Source organism: Homo sapiens, chromosome 14 (genome assembly GCF_000001405.40).
Source record: "Homo sapiens chromosome 14, GRCh38.p14 Primary Assembly".
Taxonomy (NCBI): Eukaryota; Metazoa; Chordata; class Mammalia; order Primates; family Hominidae; genus Homo; species Homo sapiens.
This window is the reverse complement of record NC_000014.9, coordinates 29,237,598-29,256,615: the sequence shown is the minus strand read 5'-3', so window position 1 is coordinate 29,256,615 and position 19,018 is coordinate 29,237,598. Positions and strand designations below refer to the sequence as shown.

The following is a 19,018-nucleotide window of genomic DNA, read 5'->3' as shown; positions in this document are numbered from 1 at the left end:
GGCCAATTTCTCCCATTTGGAATGGGAACACTTACCCAATGCCTGTACCCCCATTGCATCTCAGAAGTAACTAACTTGCTTTTGATTTTACAGGCTTATAGGCAGAGGGACTTCCCTTGTCTCAGATGAGACTTTGGACTTGGACTTTCGGGTTAATGTTAGAATGAGTTAAGACTTTTGGGGACTGTTGGAAAGGCATGATTGTGTTTTGAAATGTGAGAAAGACATGAGATTTTGGATGGGCCCCAGACAGAATGATATCGTTTGGCTTTGTCTCCCCACCCAAATCTCCTCTTGAATTGTAGTGTCCACCTCTCAAGGGAGAGACCTGGTGGGGAGTGATTGGATCATGGGGGCGGTTTCCTCCCATGCTGTTCTCATGACAGTGAGTGAGGTCTCATGAGATCTGATGGTTTAAAAGTGTGTGGCAGTTCTTCTCATTGTTCTGTCTATATCCTGCCATCATGTAAGATGTGCCTTGTTTCCCCTTTTCCTTCTGCCATTATTGTAATTTTCCTGAGGCCTCCCAGTCATGCTTCCTGTTAAGGATGCAGAATTTTAGTCAATTAAATCTCTTTTCTTCGTAAATTACCCAGTCTAAGGTAGTTCTTTATAGCAGTGTGAAAATGGACTAATACATTCTGTTTGATAACAGGAGGTATATTAGACAAATCCCATAGGCATTTTACAAAATACCCAATCCATAGTCCCCAAAACTGTCAATGTCATCAAAACAAGAGAACTCTGATTGCTGTCAAAGTGTAGAGTAGCCTAAGGAGGAATGATAGCTAATATAGTGTGATATCTTAGATGGGGTTCTGGAACAGCAATAATGAAAAGATATTTGGTAAAAACTAAGGAAATCTAAATAAAATGTGGACTTTAGTTAAAAATAGTGTGTAAATATTAGCTCATCAATTGTAACAATTGTGCTATGCAAATGTAAGATGTTAATAATAGGGGCAACTAGATTAACAGTTTATGGAAAATCTCTGTACTATCCTCATAATTTTCTGCAATTCTGAAAGTGTTCTAACAATAAAATTTCATTAATAAAATATTACTTAATTCATATAGAATAGAAAAAACCTAAGAATTATTACATAAATTAAAAGTATTACATCAAAAACCAAAAAATATATAATAATAATTAAAATTACCCTGAGAAATAAACAGTTTTAGAAATAGTAATCTGTAGAGAGGTGATAAAAATCTTCCCCATTTGTGTTCCATGTATCAAGGTAAATGAAATAATACATTATTCTACATAATATTTCTATCTTTAATTTTACTGTGTGATTTATATTTTTGCCATTAGAAGTCTAAAATATTTTCTGTTGCAAATAACATTTCCTCTTATTATAAAATTAATATATATTCATTGTAGAACATTTAGAAAGTACAAAAAAATTATAAAGAAGAAAATAATAATTCACATTTGTAGCCATCAGAGATAACAAGTTTTTAAGGTTTTAGTACTTTATTTTCTAGCCATAACATTTTATTTTACTAAAATATTTAAAATGTTATATAGAATAAGCATTTCTATATTAATATGATAGTATTTAAAAGATTACTAAACCTCCTTTAGTGAGTTCTGTTCATTTTTGTGTGTGTGCCCTAGAGACTGAGTACCATTGGGCTTGTATTTTTGAGAAATGCAAATAACTTTACATTTAATTATGTTAGTGAGAAGCTATCATATAAATTATACCTACATAATGACATTTTGACTGCACGCATTTGCTAGTCAAATAGAATAAGTCAGCTGAGTCTTAAAACTATCCAAACTGACTGACATCCTAGACATAGAGTCACTTTGTTTGAAAATCTTTTTCACTTGTGAGGGAATCAACCATTCGAGAAATATTTGCAAACCTATTTTATACAGGCACTATTCTAGGCCCTGTATACAACAGCTAACCAAAGAGACACAGTTCCTGACTTCACAGAACCTTCTAGTGAAGTTGAGGGGAGGTAAACTACATTTGTTTGTGAGTAATATCATATAGTAATAATTGCTACTGAGAAAAATAAAGAGAGAAGTAGCATAGGGAATGAGCATGCATGGTCAAGGCAGGAGGATTGCTCTCTAATCATAGGATTTTGGGGGTTATATTTTCAGAATGCAGGGCAGTCCAGGGCATCTTATAATTACAGAGGAAACAGCAAAATGATCAGCACCAAGTCAGGTTGTAATTTTTGCAGGGTGGTATTATGGAGAACTTTCCATGAATACCATAAATTCAGGAGCTTCTTTTAACTTCTGGCATGGTGACCTGAAGGAGGGGAAAAGAATCCATTTTGAAATATGCCAGAGCATTCTGTTTTTCTTAACAAGGAATGCCCTCAGGAGGATTTTTTTTTTTTTAACAGAGCCTTACCTGTTGGGGTTATGTCAGGACCTAATTGATCTTGGGGAAGGGAGATATCCAGTGTCATCACCCTCTAGCCATTCTCTTCCACCTAAGTAAGGGGAGGGTAAATTAAGAAGCATTTGGGAAGTTTATAGCCCAGAGGTACAGGCTTATTAAGAAATTAAAACCTAATTATAAAACTATAGGGTCTTATGATTTTCACTACATTACGAAATGCATATTTACCATGATTTCTTTTCTTTTCTTTCTTTCTTTCTTTTTTTCTTTCTTTCTTTTCTTTTTTTTTTTTTTTTTTTTTTTTTTGTGAGACAGAGCCTTGCTCTGTCGCCAGGTTGGAGTGCAATGTCATGATCTTGGCTCACTGCAGTCTTCGCCTCCCAGGTTCAAGCAATTCCCTGCCTCAGCCTCTCAAGTAGGTGGGACTAGAGGTGCACACTGCCACACCCAGCTAATTTTTTTGTATTTTTAGTAGTGATGGGGTTTCACCATGTTGGCCAGGATGGTCTTGATCCCCTGGCCTCATAATCTGTCCTCCTCAGCCTCCCAAAGTGCTGGGATTACAGGTGTGAGCCACCGCACCCAGCCATCAATGATTTCTTTTACTCAGTACATCATGCCAAGCTTTCGAAAAAATTACAAGGCATACTAACAGGCAACACAACACATTTTATCACAACTGAATAGAGTATCAGAACCAGAATCAGATGTGATGGGAATGTGTTAGAATTATCAGACCAAAAATTTTAAAAGAAAAAAAACTATGATAAATATGCTAGAGGGTTAAATGGAAAAGTAGACAATGTGAAAGAAGATATGAATGATATAAGCATAGAGATAGAAATTCTAAGAAAAAATAAAAATGCTAGAGATAAGAAATGTTACAACAGAAATGAAAAATGCCTTTGAATGGAAACATGTCTTTGATGGGCAAAAAATCTCTGAGTTTTAGGCAATGACAATAAAAACCCTCAATTCTAAAAAACAAAGAAAAACAGACTGGAAAAAATAATACCCGAGAACAGAATGTCCAAGAGCTGTGGGACAACTACTACAGATGTAACATATGTTTAATGCTAATACCATAAGGAAAAGAAAGAAAAAAAGGAGCAGAAGCAATCTTTGAAGCAATAATGATTGAGAATCTTTCCAAATTAATGTCAAACACCAAACCACAGATCCAGAAAGCGAAGAGAACAGTAAGCTGAACAAATGACAAAAAAAACTACACCTAGATAAATCATATTTAAACTTCAGGACATAAAAGATAAAGAAAAAAACTCAGAAAAGAAAAAAAAAATCTTACCTATGGAGGAGTGAAGATAAGAATTGCATCCAAACTCTCCTCAGAACCACTGCAAGCAATATGAGAGTAGAGTGACATGTTAAAAAAATATATAAACCAACCTAGAATTCTGACCTTGTGAAATTATTCTTTGAAAATGAAGGAGAAATAAAGACTTAACTCAAACAAAAATACATTGAGGGATTTTTTTTTTTTTTGCTAATAGATTTTCCATACAAGAAAAATTAAAAGAAGTTCTTCAGAGAGAGGGAGTATGATATACGTCAGAAACTTCGGACTACATAAAGAAAGAGCATTAGAAAAAAAATAAGTAAAGGTAAAATTTTTCTTAATTTGTTTTTAAAGTTCTTAATTTAACAAATAGCAGTTTGCTCAAAATAATAATAGCAGTAATGTATTTTATTGTATATGCTTATGTATATATATATGCTTATGCATAAGGGAAATAAATGATAACAATAGAAAGAACTGGAGAAAGGAATTAGAATTGTTATCATATGCTACTTGTCTTACAAGTATTTTATAGTGCTATTTGAAAGTAGACTTAGATTAGTTATACATATCTATGGTAAACTTGAGGACAAACACAAAACAAGTAAAAAAAGAATTATATGTTAAGGATGGAGATAAAATAAAATCAAATAAAATGCTCAATTAACCCTACAAAGGACAGAAAAAGTGTAAAGACAAAAATAGGAACAAAGGCAATAAACACAGAAAACAGTAACAAATACAGTAAGTATTAATCAAACTATACGAATAGTTACTTTATTTTTTTTTATTTTATTATTATTATACTCTAAGTTTTAGAGTACATGTGCACAATGTGCAGGTTAGTGACATATGTATACATGTGCCCTGCTAGTGTGCTGCACCCATTAACTCATCATTTAGCATTAGATATATCTCCTAAAGCTATCCCTCCCCCCTCCCCCCACCCCACAACAGTCCCCAGAGTATGATGTTCCCCTTCCTGTGTCCATGTGTTCTGATTGTTCAATTCCTACCTATGAGTGAGAACATGCGGTGTTTGGTTTTTTGTTCTTGTGATAGTTTACTGAGAATGATGATTTCCAATTTCATCCATGTCCCTACAAAGGACATGAACTCATCATTTTTTATGGCTGCATAGTATTCCACAGTGTATATGTGCCACATTTTCTTAATCCAGTCTGTCACTGTTGGACATTTGGGTTGGTTCCAAGTCTTTGCTATTGTGAATAATGCTGCAATAAACATACGTGTGCATGTGTCTTTATAGCAGCATGATTTATAGTCCTTTGGGTATATACCCAGTAACGGGATGGCTGCGTCAAATGGTATTTCTAGTTCTAGATCCCTGAGGAATCGCCACACTGACTTCCACAAGGGTTGAACTAGTTTACAGTCCCACCAACAGTGTAAAAGTGTTCCTATTTCTCCACATCCTCTCCAGCACCTGTTGTTTCCTGACTTTTTAATGATTGCCATTCTAACTGGTGTGAGATGGTATCTCATTGTGGTTTTGATTTGCATTTCTCTGATGGCCAGTGATGGTGAGCATTTTTTCATGTGTTTTTTGGCTGCATAAATGTCTTCTTTTGAGAAGTGTCTGTTCATGTCCTTCACCCACTTTTTGATGGGGTTGTTTGTTTTTTACTTGTAAATTTGTTTGAGTTCATTGTAGATTCTGGATATTAGCCCTTTGTCAGATGAGTAGATTGCAAAAATTTTCTCCCATTTTATAGGTTGCCTGTTCACTCTGATGGTAGTTTCTTCTGCTGTGCAGAAGCTCTTTAGTTTAATTAGATCCCATTTGTCAATTTTGGCTTTTGTTGCCATTGCTCTTGGTGTTTTAGACATGAAGTCCTTGCCCGTGCCTATGTCCTGAATGGTAATGCCTAGGTTTTCTTCTAGGGTTTTTATGGTTTTAGGTCTAACATGTAAGTCTTTAATCCATCTTGAATTAATTTTTGTATAAGGTGTAAGGAAGGGGTCCAGTTTCTGCTTTCTACATATGGCTAGCCAGTTTTCCCAGCACCATTTATTAATAGGGAATCCTTTCCCCATTGCTTGTTTTTCTCAGGTTTGTCAAAGATCAGATAGTTGTAGATATGTGGTTTTATTTCTGAGGCCTCTGTTCTGTTCCATTGATCTATATCTCTGTTTTGGTACCAGTACCATGCTGTTTTGGTTACTGTAGCCTTGTAGTATAGTTTGAAGTCAGGTAGTGTGATGCCTCCAGCTTTGTTCTTTTGGCTTAGGATTGACTTGGTGATGCGGGCTCTTTTTTGGTTCCATATGAACTTTAAAGTAGTTTTTTCCAATTCTGTGAAGAAAGTCACTGGTAGCTTGATGGGGATGGCATTGAATCTATAAATTCCCTTGGGCAGTATGGCCATTTTCAGGAATTGATTCTTCCTATCCATGAGCATGGAATGTTCTTCCGTTTGTTTGTATCCTCTTTTATTTCGTTGAGCAGTGGTTTGTAGTTCTCCTTGAAGAGGTCCTTCACGTCCCTTGTAAGTTGGATTCCTAGGTATTTTATTCACTTTGAAGCAATTGTGAATGGGAGTTCACTCAAGATTTGGCTCTCTGTTTGTCTGTTATTGGTGTATAAGAATGCTTGTGATTTTTGAACACTGATTTTGTATCCTGAGACTTTGCTGAAGTTGCTTATCAGCTTAAGGAGATTTTGGGCTGAGACAATGGGGTTTTCTAGATATACAATCATGTCATCTGCAATAGTTACTTTAAAAATCAGGAGTCTAAATACATCAATTAAAAGACTAAGATAGTAAAAGTGGATCAAAAATCAAGACCTAATATATGACGCCTAAAAAAAATTCATTGTAAATATAAAGATGCATATCTATTAAAAGTAAATGGAAGGAGAAAGATATACCATGCTAACACTACTCAAAAGAAAGTGAGAATACTATATTAATTTTAGACAAACCAGACGTTAGAGCAAGGAAAGGTATCAGGCATATAGAGGGGCATTAAATAATGATAAAGGGGAAAATACCACAAGAAAACCTAACAGTCCTTGGTGTGTATGTGCCTAGCAACAACGTGTCAAAACACATGAAGAAAGAATAGATAAAACAGCAAGGAGAAATAGTTGAATACACTATTACAGTTGGAGATTTTAACACATATCTATTATAAATCTATCAATCGACCAATCAGTTGAGCAGAAAATCAGTAAAGATATAGTTGAATTTAACAGCATCATTAATCAACTGGACATAAATAACATCTATAGACTTTTTCATTGAACAACAACAGAGTACACATTCTTCTCAAGAATACATTAAACATTCAAGATAGACCACATTCTGAGCCATAACACATATATTAACAAATTTTGAAGAACAGGAATTATGCAATATCTGCTCTAATACCACAGTGGAACTAAACTAAAAATAAACTACAGAAATAAAGCTGGAAAATCCCAAAATATTTGAATATTAAATAAGGCATTTCTAAATAACAATTGCTTCCAAGAAAAAAATCTCAAAATAAAAAACATATAAAGCAAATTAAAATGAAAATACAACTCATCAAAATGTGTAGGATGTAGCAAAAGCAGCATAGAGGAAAGTTTATAGCATAGAATGTATATAACAGAAAAGAAGAAAGATTTAATATTAATTATCTAAGCTTCCACCTTAAAATATTAGGGAAAAAAAGAGCAAATTAAGTCCAAATAAGCGGGAGAAAGGAAATAAAAACCAGAGCAGTAATCAACAAAATTGCAAACAGGAAATAGAAGAAAATCAGTGACACCAAAAGCTGATTCTTTGACAAGATCAATAATATTGATAAGCCTCTAGCCAGGATACCTAAGAAAAAAAGAGAAAAGACACAAAACGCTACTATCAGAAATAAAAGAGGAGACATCACCTTAGATATGATTGATACTAAAATGATAATCAAGTCATATTATGGAAAATTCTATGCCCACAGATTTGGTAACTTATATAAAATGAACAAATTTCTTAAAAGATATACCTGCCAAAGTCCACACAGTGGAAATTAGACAACATAAATTGTCTTATATCTATTAAAGAAATGGAATCCATAATCAGTATTCCTATAAAACAGAAAACACCAATCACAGTTGGTTTACTGTTGAATTCTACCAAACATTTGGAAAAAAATTAAACAAATTATCTACAATTTCTTCCAGAAGGTGTAAGCAAAGGGAATACTTACAAACTAATTCTATAAGGCCAGCATTGCCTGAATACCAAAAGCAGACAAATACATTACAAGTAAAGAAAACTTTAGATAAATATCTCTCATGAACATAGATGTAAAAATGCTCAAAATATATAAGCAAATCCAATGCAATATATTTAAGAAGAATTGCACACCATGACCACTTGGGCCTATCCAAGCATGCAAAGCTCATTCAACATTTGAAAGTCAGTTAATGCAATCAATTACACCAACAAGTTAAAGAATAAAAATCACATGATCATATTAATAAATTCAAAAATATCATCTGACAAAATCCAACTTCCATTCATGATGAGAACTCTTGGGAAGCTAGGAATACAGGGAACTTCCTCACTTGATTAAAAAAAAATAGAAAAATCTATAGCTAATGTAATACTTAGGCTTTCCCACTTAGATAAGGAACAAAATAAGACATTCCTTATCACCACTGCTTTTCAACATTATATTGGAAGTCCTAATTAATGCAATAAGACAAAAAGAAAAGAAAGGAAAAGAAAAAGTATACAGATATAGAAAGAAAAAATAAAACTCTCTTTGTTTGCAAATGACATGATTATCTATGTAGAAAATTTTTAAAAATTGACAAAAAATCTCTTGGAACTAACAAACAATTTTAGCAAGGGTGCACAATATAAGTTTAGTACATAAAAGTCAATCAGTTTCATATACCAGCAATAAAAAGTGAAATTTGTAATTAAAAACACATTACCATTTAGTTACCACTAAAAAATGAAATAAGTATAAACCTAACAAAACACGTACGAGATCTCTATGGAAAAAACTACAAAACTCTGATGAACAATACAACAAAAATCTAAATAAAATTTGGCGAGAGAGTCCATGTCCATGGACAGGAATACTCCATATAGTCATGATGTCACTTCATCCAAACTTGAACTATAGATGCAATACAGTCCGAATAAAATCTCAGCAAGTTTTATTTTTATTTTTATTTTTTGATATTGACAAACTGTTCTTAAAGTTTATATAGAATGGCAAAAGACCCAGAATAACCAACTCAATATTGACGGGGAAGAACAAAGTCAGAGAACTAACACACTCCGATGACATAATACTTGCTATTAAGCTACATTAATCAAGACAGTGTGGCATTGGTGAAAGAATATACAAATAGATCAATGTAACAGAATAGAGCTCAGAAATAGACCCGTATTAATATAGTCAACTAATATTTAACAGAGGATCAAAGGAAATGCAAGTAGGCAAAGATGGTCATTTCAACAAATAAGGGTGGAACAACTAAACATGCACATGCAAAAAAAAAAAAAAAAAAAAAAAAAAAAAAAAAAAAAAAAAAACCTATGTCTAAACCTTAAATCCTTTGCAAAAATTAACTTAGAATGAATCATAGACCCAAATGTAAAATGCGAAACTACCAAACTAAAATTCAAAACTTCTGCTCTGTGAACTCCAATGTGAAGAGAATAAGTCAAACTAAAGACTTGGAGAAAAATTTTTGCAAAAGACGCATCTGATAAACATCTGTTATCCAAAATATACTAAGAACACTTAAAACTCAACAATAAGAAAATAAACAACCTGAATAAAAATGGACAAAGACTTGAACAGACTCTCACCAAAGAAGATATGCAGATGGCAAGTAACCACATGAAAAGATGTTAGACATCATATTTCATTGGGAACTGCAAATTTAAACAATAATGAGATACCGCTACACACTTATTAGAATGACCAAAATCTAAAGCACTGACAATACCAAAGGTTAGTGAGGATATGGAGCAACAAAATTCTCATTTATTGCTGATGAGAATTCAAGGTAACTTTCAAAAACAGTTTGGCAGTTTTCTACAAAACAAATCACACTCTTACTGTACAATCCAGCAACGGTGCTCCTTGATATTTACGTAATGAATATAACTTTATTTTCACACAAAAACCTGCAAATGCATGTTTTTTGCAGCTTTACTCATAATTGTCAAAACTTGGAAGCAACCAAGATGTCCTTTACTAGGTGAATGGATAAATAAACTGTGGTAGATTCAGACAATGGAATATTAGTCAGTGCTTAAAAAACTAAACTATCGTGGCATGAAAAGACATGGAGGAAATTTAACTACATATTACTAAGTGAAAGAAGCCAGTCTTAAAAGACTAACACACTATGTAATTCAAATTATATGCCATTCTAGAAAAGGAAAAACTATGGAAACAGTAAACATATAAGCGATTGCCAGGGTTTAGGGGAGAGGTAGGGATAAATAGGCGAAGCATGGAAGATTTTTAGAGCAGTGAAACTACTCTGTATAGTACTACAATGGTAGACACATGTCATTATAAATTGTCAAAACTGTAGAATGTACAGCACCAAGAGTAAACCCTTATATAGACTATGAATTTTGAATGATAATAATGTGTCTGTGTAGGTTAGGTTCATTGATTATAACAAATGTACTACTGTGGTGTGGGATGTTGATAGTGCGTGAAAACTCTTTGTACTTTGTTCTCAATTTTTCTCTAACCTAAAACTTCTCTAAAACATAGTTTATTCGTTGAAAAATTACATGCCATGGCTGAGTTTTCTTAATAATATGCTGGTGAGAGAAAAAAGGGTCAATGAAATAATTTAATTTTTCAGACTTTTAAAACATACATTGCCATAAAACATAAAACTTTGTAGGTACTGAAACATAATTTATTTATATATGGATTTACAATTGAATTTCCAATTTATATAATAAAAAACAATGGGCAATTGTCAGTTATTTAAAAAATGAATTTTCTACACCATTAACCAAGTATTTCAGACCATATTAGCAATTGAGATAAAATTGAAACACATGATGAGGTTTGTAAATGTTGGTAAAAATTGAGCAGAGTTTAAAAGAGATTTAAGTTGCCATTTGAGATAAGGTTTGTGACTTACAGTTTAGGTTGGAAATGGTTGGTTATTTTTATTCTGTAGTTTGAACTCAGTGAAATGAAGCAGTATATGATGAATTGCTTTTAATGTAGTTTTCAAGTTTCTAGCCTTTCTAACCTGAGTAGCTGTATATGAAACCAGAAGCCATCCTGAAAGCCATGAAGAAGTTTCTTCCATTCAAAGTAAAATGTTGTTCCCAGTAAACAATTATCGACAATTGGGACTACTGGGAGCTTTAAGCAATTTATTTTTCTTTACCTGTTTTCTCGTTTTTTTTTCTTCCTATACCGTCATTCACATGATTGCAGCTCTGTTATTTTCTTCTAGGATCGTGCTGGTTGACCAATGACATTCAAGTGCAAAGTGCTGAGGTGATGGAATCAGAGCAGATGCCATCCTTAGCTATATGTACTCTTATTGATAGGGCAATACACAAACCATTTGCTCTTCTTTCTTTACATATCACAGTCTGGAAGAACACAGAAAATGCTTTAAGTTTGTTCATTTATTCATTCATTCAACGATTATTTATTGAGCACCTATTATGTGCCTGATCCTCTTCTGGAATAGAATATTAAGCAAAAGTGGAATCACTTTGCCCTTATGGAGGTTGTTATTGGTTGGAAGAGATGGACATTAATCAAATAATCACATACTACGATAAGGGCTAGGAAGAGACAGTGTGTAAGTGTGCATAATAAGAATTTGGCTCAGGGGAGTCAAAGAAATATTCTCCCTAAGGAACTGAAAGTTAAGCTGGAGTCAAAGATTAAGTAGAAGTTAACTGTTGGAAGAAAGAAGAAAAGAGGATTCCAGGCAGAAAATATTTAATTAAATATGTTGTCATATGTAGGGCTTAATATGATGAGTTTACTGCTGTCATATAACAGTACATAATAGAATAATTACTCATACAAATGCTACAGCAGTGCATTAAAATGTATTTAAAACTCCAGATTTAAATTGACTCCTTTTTTTTTTTTTTTTTTTTTTTTTTTTTTTTTTTTTTTGAGACGGAATCTCGCTCTGTCGCCCAGGCTAGAGTGCAGTGGCAGCGCTATCTTGGCTCACTGCAAGCTCCGCCTCTCAGGTTCACACCATTCTCCTGCCTCAGCCTCCCGAGTAGCTGGGACTACAGGCACCCACCACCACGCCCGGCTGATTTTTTGTATTTTTAGTAGAGACGGGGTTTCACCGTGTTATCCAGGATGGTCTCGGTCTCCTGACCTCGTGATCCGCCCACCTCGGCCTCCCAAAGTGCTGGGATTACAGGCATGAGCCACCGCACCCGGCCTCTATTTTTTTTTTAGATGGAGTTTCGTTCTGTTGCCCAGGCTGGAGTGCAGAAGTGTGGTCTCGGCTCACTGCAACCTCTGCCTCTGGGTTCAAGCCAATTATCCTGCCTCAGCCTCCTGAGTAGCTAGGATTACAGGGGTGTGCCACCATTCCTGGATGATTTTTGTAGTTTTAGTAGATACGGGTTTTCAACATGTTGGCTAGCTGGTCTTCAACTCCTGACCTCAGGTGATCCACCCACCTCAGAGATGGGATCATAAGTGTGTCTTTATTCTTTTCCAGTTTTCTAGATATAGTTGAGATACTTTCATAGAATAGAAATATTTTACAAAAAAACAAAGTAGCTGAATTACCTCCATTTTGTTTCACTACATAGCTGTATGGAACAAGGATTTCATTATTAAAAATAAGTTTAGAATTCAACACCTTATTTTTAATCAGTGTAAACTTGTTTTTCTCAAAAATATGATATTCTTTTAAAAGTCCCATTTATAACATACCATTCTTGGCACAGAGGACAGCCTTATAAGGGCAGGGGGTGCTCTACCCTCGGAGGAACCTCTCAACCAGTCAGAATGCTCATTATCAGTCTAATTATCCCCTGATAATTGGCCTGCCTGTAAGAATAATAGTCTGGGATGACTTAACTCAGTGCTGACATATTCACAGCATCCTACACGCTGCATTCTAAACTTCTTAACTTTTCCTTAAATATGGGCAGAATCTGATTTTAGCTGTCAGCATACTTTATTTGCTCAACATTTAACTTCCTATGAACACTGAGGAACCACTCTGCTGAGACCAGAGAGTACTCCTTGTTTGTACTAAACTTTGTAGTGTCGGCGATAAATCTTACATAACGTCCAGCTTTCTTATTTTGTCTGTGTACAACATTGTCCAAAAAGACAAGCCTCCCTTCTTGGACTCTGTGAAATTTACTCATAGGATAATGCCGTTAGAATGGAGTCACTTGGCTTGTTAATGCTTACCAGCATTTCAACACTTCTAGATGGCTGGCTGATGTCCAAATGAGACTAGGGAATGGCCAAGGAAAGAAATAGTGATGGAATGTTTCAGTGGATAGCGTATTTGCTTTTGTGTGTTTCTTGAAATAATTAGGTTGAATTAGATTAATGCTCATGGTATAGTGCTTTAAAGTTTCCAATTTGAGATTAAAATGTCCTCATTTTTATGTCTAGTGTTCTTGAAAACTTGTTAGCAGGATGAGGATGTTTGTATTCTTTAGGTCTCTCTTTTTTTTAGTTGCATAAATTCATCTGTTTAATAAATAGTTCACACACTGGCCAGAAACCAAGTGGACAAACTGTATTCACTAACCCTTTAATACTTGGCTCCTTTGTATAATGACCCAGCCCATTATTAGATAATGAAAGAGTGTATGAGAAAGTGGAAGATTATTTATGATGGAAACAAAATGAAACTAATGGGACAAGATTTGAAAGCTGTGATGCATGAAAGGTGCTATGCAGGCAGCTCTGGCACCATGACAAACAGAGATAAAGGCTCAGTGGGAAGCAACAGTGTGAACATGACTATGAAGAAGAAAGAATGGATTTCCTGAATGAATCCTTGCCATCTGGTGTTTGTTTAATACACAATGAAGGTCAAATGGCTACTGATCCTTTTTTCTATAGTCCAGTGACTACAAGAATGAGAGGAATCAATGAGTTTATCGATATGTCTGGAAATGACTCACCATATGATCTGATTGAGTCAATAAAACTCAAGTAACTTGTCATTACTCTTTCAAATGTGGTTTGGATATGGGACTAAAATTCTGTATTTCTTTTTAAAAGCCAGTTTGCTGAATCAAATGTGGCAGGTACTTTTTTTCTAGATTAATGTCATGAAGCATTTGATTTTATATGTATGCATGTATCATAGGAAACATCAGGAGGAAAATTTCTCATAAAGCTAAATGTTTCTCCAATCTTCAAATAGATCTATTCATCACTTGTTTCTGTTGAATGGTGGTGGATCAAATAAATCTTTTTTCTTCCACTGTGCCTTTTCTCTGTATGAGATTGATTACAAACCTATTTTATATAATCATTCCTAGGGGACCTATTAACTTTTGGCAAAATATGTTAATTTAATCATTATATGTAAACAGCATAAGTTTTGGGTATGTCATATGTAAGTGGAACATATTATTTTATATTATGTTCCCTTTCCTACAGGTTGTTTCAATAATGTACTTCCACAGTGTGATCTTGGAACTCTTATCATCTACTGCTGAAGTTGCAGGGTTTTCTGTTGAGTTCTTTTCTAAAGACTAAAATAAAAGATACTTTTCTCACATTAATATTTCTCAGCTGCCATGAAAACAGGGATAGGAGAAGCCAAAAATAGAGGAGCCAGCTGTGGGAGGCTGCTTTTTTTTTTCAGGACAACTCAGAAAAGTCTTTCAAATTCATTTCATAAAGAGTGTGTTAATGCAAATACTGTTTTACGTGCCTGCATGCTATAGTTTAGAAGCCGACATATACTCAGCTGTCTCACGGTGAATGTTATCTAACTGTTGTAGAGGTAGTAGAATTATTAAGTTTGTCTCTGTGGTAGATCCATTTAGGATTCTTTACCCTTTCTCTTGAAAGTACTCTCTTCTCTGATGCTAGCTAATTAAAGTAGGAAAGGGGTGATTATGAAAAAAATCATCTTCTTCCTCAAGTAGACCCAATGTGTTTTATTCTAGTTCCCACAAATTTTGTTGTTGTTTTGACTTTTTTCACCTGAATATCAAATATTACATGATCCCCTAACTATGCAAAACAAAACAAAACAAAAACCATCATTCAAGCCTGCAAAGGCACCATGTTTAATACATTGGCCTCCTTCATTTTGTTATTCATTTTTTTCTTTATGTAACTTAGGTAATAATGCAAATAAAATTTTATTCCATACTATTTTTTGCATAACATTTTTTCCATAAAACATTATGTCCATGAAGCCTTATCTGATCTACTCTTTTACCCAGGTAGAATGGCTATTCCTTCCTTTGTGCAACCACTGTGCTGTGAAGCTATATTCCAACCTTTACAATAGTGTTTCTAACTCAATTAAAAACTCTAGAGGTTTTTAACCTCTAGTACCTTTAGCATAGTGTTTTAAATTTTTATTCATCAGATTTTTAAATACTTAGAAAGTCTTATATGTGTTTAGCAACATAAAAAATAGGCATCTAAGATTAAACCTATAGACAACATAGATATTCTCCTGACACTTAGAATTGCCCATCTACTGAAGATGTTAAGACAGTCAGTTGATAAGACAGAAATGTTGTAAAACTGTTTCCTGTTTCCTGGCTGGAATTTAAATTATACAATGTACAAGTGCCCTTAAAACTTCAAGATACTAATATTCTGTTGGGTTGACAGATTAACTGCTTAGTGGCTGGGCATACCTAGCCTTGACATATAATGTCAGTGAAGTTGTATGATTCATTACTGGATATGAAATGACATTAGCTTTTTTGACCTACTGGCCATTATTTAAAGGTCCATATACATTCACCTGGCCTCAGAAGTCTGTTAGCAGCAAGTGCTATTCATGTAGGTTGACAGGCCAACAGGGCAGTGGATGCTCTGCTTACACTTCGAGGTAACTTAGAAGATAACTGGATTTAGTTGGGGCTTGAAAATTCTGAGTAGAGAAATGACTTTCAGATTAATTGCCTTAGATTTTATCAAGGTGAAAGGTGCAATAGAAATGTCAAAATGTGATTACTGTTATTATATTTTCTGTTATCAACAAATAGCTTTACTTCTTATGACTCATTTATTCAAAAGTTGGCATAAAACTAAGAAGCAGTTCTATATTCAAACTTCGAATAAAGAAAAAGTAAATTGGGGATTTATTCAGCATAAATCGACTTTATCATATATAATTTTTGTCAGATCCATGAATTTTCACTCTATGGCTATTTTGCCTGCTGTTCTTTTTTGAAACAAAAAAATATGTGGGTACATTTAGTTTTAACAGACAAATGTTGGGATTATGCAAATAACTAGTAATTTTAACTTTAGGAAATCTATTATGTCTCTACTATACTTGCTGGTCATTTTTTAGGATATGATTCATTAGATTAAAATGTGTTTCTTCATCCATTTTTCATGACTCTTTTCCTTTGGTTAGTAAAGGCTGACATTAAAAAATATTACGCCTGAAAGAAATAACCTTATATCAAACCATCTTAGCAAAAACAATTGCCTGAATCACTGGATTCTGGCAATTCACTGTGACCAACAAAAGTCATAATCCCTTAGTCATATTTACTAAAGATATCCGCTTCTCAGAGTTAGCTTCCTATGTTCTTCCACCGCTTTTGATAACTAGTATAAACTAAGAAGAACATTTCCTGGTTTTAAGTACACTTAAGAGTTCATAGTTTTCCATAACAACAAATTATAAGAGAAAGATAGTTGATTTGTAGTCATGAGATTAAATTGTATTAAATCTGAGAGCTTATTTCCTTAAGCACACTCTGAAGGCGTTTATGTCTGGAGCTTACAGGTTTTTAGTATTTAACATTGACAAGTCACAGAAGTTATAAATTCCATTTTAGAATACCATTGATTTGTGTTATCTGAACCCTATGCCTCCCTCCCTGTGGACATATTTTATTTAAGGTTACATTTTCTCAAAAGGGTCCTATGCAAGATACATCAGAAATAGAGTCTTTAGATTGTTATATTATTATTATTATTATTATTTATGATTTTCCTCTGGGCTGGCCTTGAAAGCTTGAAATTCCATAGTTTTGCTTCCTTGAAAAAATTATCTGTGCAATATCACTTTTTTTTAGATGGAGTTTCACTCTTGTTGCCCAGGCTGCAATGCAACGGTGCAATCTCGGCTCACTGCAACCTCAGCCTCCAGGGCTCTAGTGATTCTCCTGCCTCAGCCTCCCGAGTAGCTGAGATTACAGGCATGTGCCACCATGCCTGGCCAATTTTGTTGTATTTTTAGTAGAAATGGGGTTTCACCATGTTGGGCAGGCTGGTCTCGAACTCCTGACCTCGGGTGATCTGCCCATCTCGGCCTCCCAAAGTTCTGGGATTACAGGTGTGAGCCACTGTGCCCAGCCGCAATATGACTTTTAAAGTGATTAATGACTAGAACAAGTGTGGTGAACACTAGACCTGTATGTATGGATAAAGCTAAATATCAACTCAGGATTTTGCATTGAGTAAATATATATTTTCTGCTTCACTTGGAAATTGTAAGGCTAACTTACTCTAGCAGCCATAAAGTCTTAATCCATTTCTTTTACATATCTTAGGTATCAAAAATGGGTAAGAAATGCAGTGGTGATAAGGAGTATTTGAACATCTTGGGCCTTTAAGAAAATCCAAATGAAATTGACACAAATAAGGCAAAATCAAATTTTTCTTATAAATATATGCCTTTTAAAAAATATATAATATTTCATACATTTAAAATAATAATGAACTTTTAAATTTGCATAAAAACACCGTTTCAAAATAAACTACACATAGCTTAAATGTTGTGTCTGCGTGTGCATGTATTATTGCATTTTATAATATTCTCCTAGGTGGTAAATTGAGAACTTAGTGTGTAATATATCTCTCCTGAAAATTATTTGGTTCAGCTTTTGGACAAACTCTCCTGAGGGCTTTGTTAAAAGAGATGGTAAATCTTGTTTTAGATTGAGATTGAAACAAAGATTGTATTTCTTTTAAAATAGACAAACATACATAATATTTCCTATTTTATACATATTTCATATCAGTATCTAAAAGATTGTGTCCTTTGTTAGCCTGACTTTGCCCTGCTAGGGTCCAACAAATGGGCAAGCAACGCAACAATTGGATGGAAATTCTAACAGCACAAAGGATTTGAGTAGGAAGATGACCAGAGAAGATCAGATAATTAACCCCAAGAAGTTGGGTTCAGTGCCTTTATTGGGGGATTACAGAGGTAAAATAAGGTCATTTCTCTTGTATAGAGGAAGACAGAGGGGTCAAGAACTGAGAAACACGGACAGGGAAAAGAGGAAGAAAGGGCATGGTGCTACTCTTCATTTCCTGCTATGTGACAAAGGTCAGAATGATGGCACTTTCTGAACTTTGAAGAGGTGATCTTCCTTTATTGAGATTAAGTTGCCAAAGTCGCATTCACTGAACTTCCTAAAAGTAGCAATGAACATTTCAGAATGAACTTCTAAAGCACAAGGATTCTCGACTCCATGCAGAAAATTTCCCAGCTAAACAAAGCACTGGAGGGGTACTCTGATAATACATTAGTTCAAAGCCATATTAAGCAATCTGGCCTATTTACAGACAAGTTGTGAGCCTTTACCTCTCAAAATGGATGTCAAAAGACAGCCATTACACACAAAAATAACATTTGTATATTCTCAGACAAATATAAGAATATCTACTCAAAAATATCTATAGACAGTAAGATATGATTTTTTTTATTTGCTGTAACTGTTTTATGTACAGTGCCATAGGTGTTATTATTATTTTTTTTTTTTGGTCACAGTTTTAGAGTCCAAGCACTTTCTTATAATAAATAACTTAGTTTCTCCAGAGTCCCAAATAGGCATTGAATCCAAATCAGAATGGTGTATTAAGAAGATTAGTTTACCTGAATTAAAGACCAACTCTCATTTTATCCTGACCATCTTTTCACTTTGTCTTTAAAGCCTTATTTGAGTCTTAATAAAATCTAGCCATGGAGAAACTTGCAAATTTTTTGAGTTCTCATCAGGTATTTTGTGGTTTTATTGTTTAATTTTGCCTTACAGTTTTGCCTTTTAATTTTGCCTTACAGTTAAGGAAATAGCTATCTATTCCCTCTGTCTCTCTCTTTGTCTCTCTCTGTCTCCCTCTCTTTATATCATTTATCTACCTACCTACCTACCTA

At 34.2% G+C, this 19,018-nt stretch overlaps 1 long non-coding RNA gene across 3 annotated transcripts in view, besides 1 other annotated feature; it reads left to right on the top strand.

The window, feature by feature from the left end:
- LOC102724934 (uncharacterized) overlaps nt 1–19,018 on the top strand; it is a 181,069-nt gene that overhangs the window by 135,439 nt on the left and 26,612 nt on the right. The window contains exon 7 of one of the 3 annotated variants that reach the window (XR_001750708.2): nt 3,887–3,991. The exons of the other annotated variants lie outside the window; for them this stretch is intronic. This is a non-coding gene — a long non-coding RNA (uncharacterized LOC102724934). Of the gene's footprint in view, nt 1–3,886; nt 3,992–19,018 lie in introns of those variants that run through there. 3 annotated transcript variants of the gene reach the window in all.
- Nucleotides 12,482–14,937: an enhancer, noted in NCBI's record as "VISTA enhancer hs1539". NCBI's record gives its function as "enhancer in: hindbrain (rhombencephalon)[4/5]" and the evidence as "EXISTENCE:transgenic organism evidence [ECO:0001131][PMID:17130149]".